The sequence below is a fragment of the Homo sapiens genome, chromosome 2 (assembly GCF_000001405.40).
Source record: "Homo sapiens chromosome 2, GRCh38.p14 Primary Assembly".
Classification (NCBI taxonomy): domain Eukaryota; kingdom Metazoa; phylum Chordata; class Mammalia; order Primates; family Hominidae; genus Homo; species Homo sapiens.
The window spans coordinates 6,223,468-6,224,712 of NC_000002.12; the positions used below are offsets into that span (position 1 = coordinate 6,223,468).

The 1,245-nt window shown below is 41.8% G+C and overlaps 1 annotated feature.

Moving 5' to 3' along the window:
• Positions 614 to 813: an enhancer, noted in NCBI's record as "active region_15240". NCBI's record gives its function as "activates an Ori minimal core promoter by ATAC-STARR-seq in GM12878 lymphoblastoid cells {active_cell/tissue: GM12878}" and the evidence as "EXISTENCE:reporter gene assay evidence [ECO:0000049][PMID:35858748]".

The following is a 1,245-nucleotide window of genomic DNA, read 5'->3' on the forward strand; positions in this document are numbered from 1 at the left end:
GTAAAGGAAGATGCTCATAGAGATCTTATCAACAACATTTGTTTACTTGAAATAACTTTGAGGTTCAAACACAAAAGAACAACTGAATATATCCTATCCAATAACATTTTGATGCAAAAGAAGCCATCATTACAAATTATGCACAAATTTTAATTACAACTAACAAAAGGTGAGGATGGACAGAAAGCTATTTCTGAGGAACACCTATACCAGTCTGTTTTATAATTTTTCTCCATCCAAAATGACTTATTATTTTATAAATAAAGATAAATTTAAAAAGTTTTAAAAAATTAGCAAAAATCCCTTAAATAGATTTTGAGTGGAGATTTAATGGCAGGTGAGAATTTCTTTAGGTCTATGTTCATCTGTTATTTTTCAGAGCTCTTTTTACCTTTACAGCAGAAATTATATTCAGTAGGTACCTAGCAGTTGATAGATTTCTTTTTTAAAAAACCTCTTCTATATTATTTTATATTACAGGAAAAGCAAGAAAGCAAGAGAGACAGAAAGCCTGAACAGTGACAGGAACATGAAAAGCTGCTGGCCCCCGGGATGGCACAGCCCTTCACCAGGAGGGCCCGTGGACTCCCTGTGAAAGATGGTTTGTCAATGAGAAAAAGGCTTCTGAAAAAGGGGGTCACAGGGAGAGAACAGCATGTCCTACTGTATATCCACATGACACTTCTCTTGTACAAACTCCCATGTCCATGACCTCATGTTATTTTTAAAACAGGCCAGAGTGACAAATTTTTCAAAAGTGGAAGGGATTTTAAGAAGATTGGCCAAATGATTTCCAGTTCATCGACAGGAAAAACAAGGGGAGACAGGGAAGTGACTTGCTCACGTCCTGTAACCAACCACAGGGCTCAAGTTTCTTCACTGTGGCCTGAGCCTGTCTGGCTAGTACTACCTGCACTACCTTCCTTTCTTGGTGCCCTGCACTGCACAGTTCATTGCTCCTAGGGTGGGGCTGTGGGGGAAGCTGACTTTCTCTTCTCTATTTCCACTTGAACCCACCCCCCAGCAGGGAGGTCATGGTGAACGCAGTCTGCCCCCAGGCAGCTGATCTACCCTCCCTCTGCTGTTGTTCCTCAAGGCAACAGCTGAGAGGTCCCCTCCCCAGGGAAGTCAGGCCACGGTCTCATCTTTCCTTTCTCCTGAGGCCACTGGCAGGAGGAGGAGCAGGACATGGCTTAGTAAAATGCCATGTTATCTGTTACAAGGATAGGTCTATAGGAATGTATC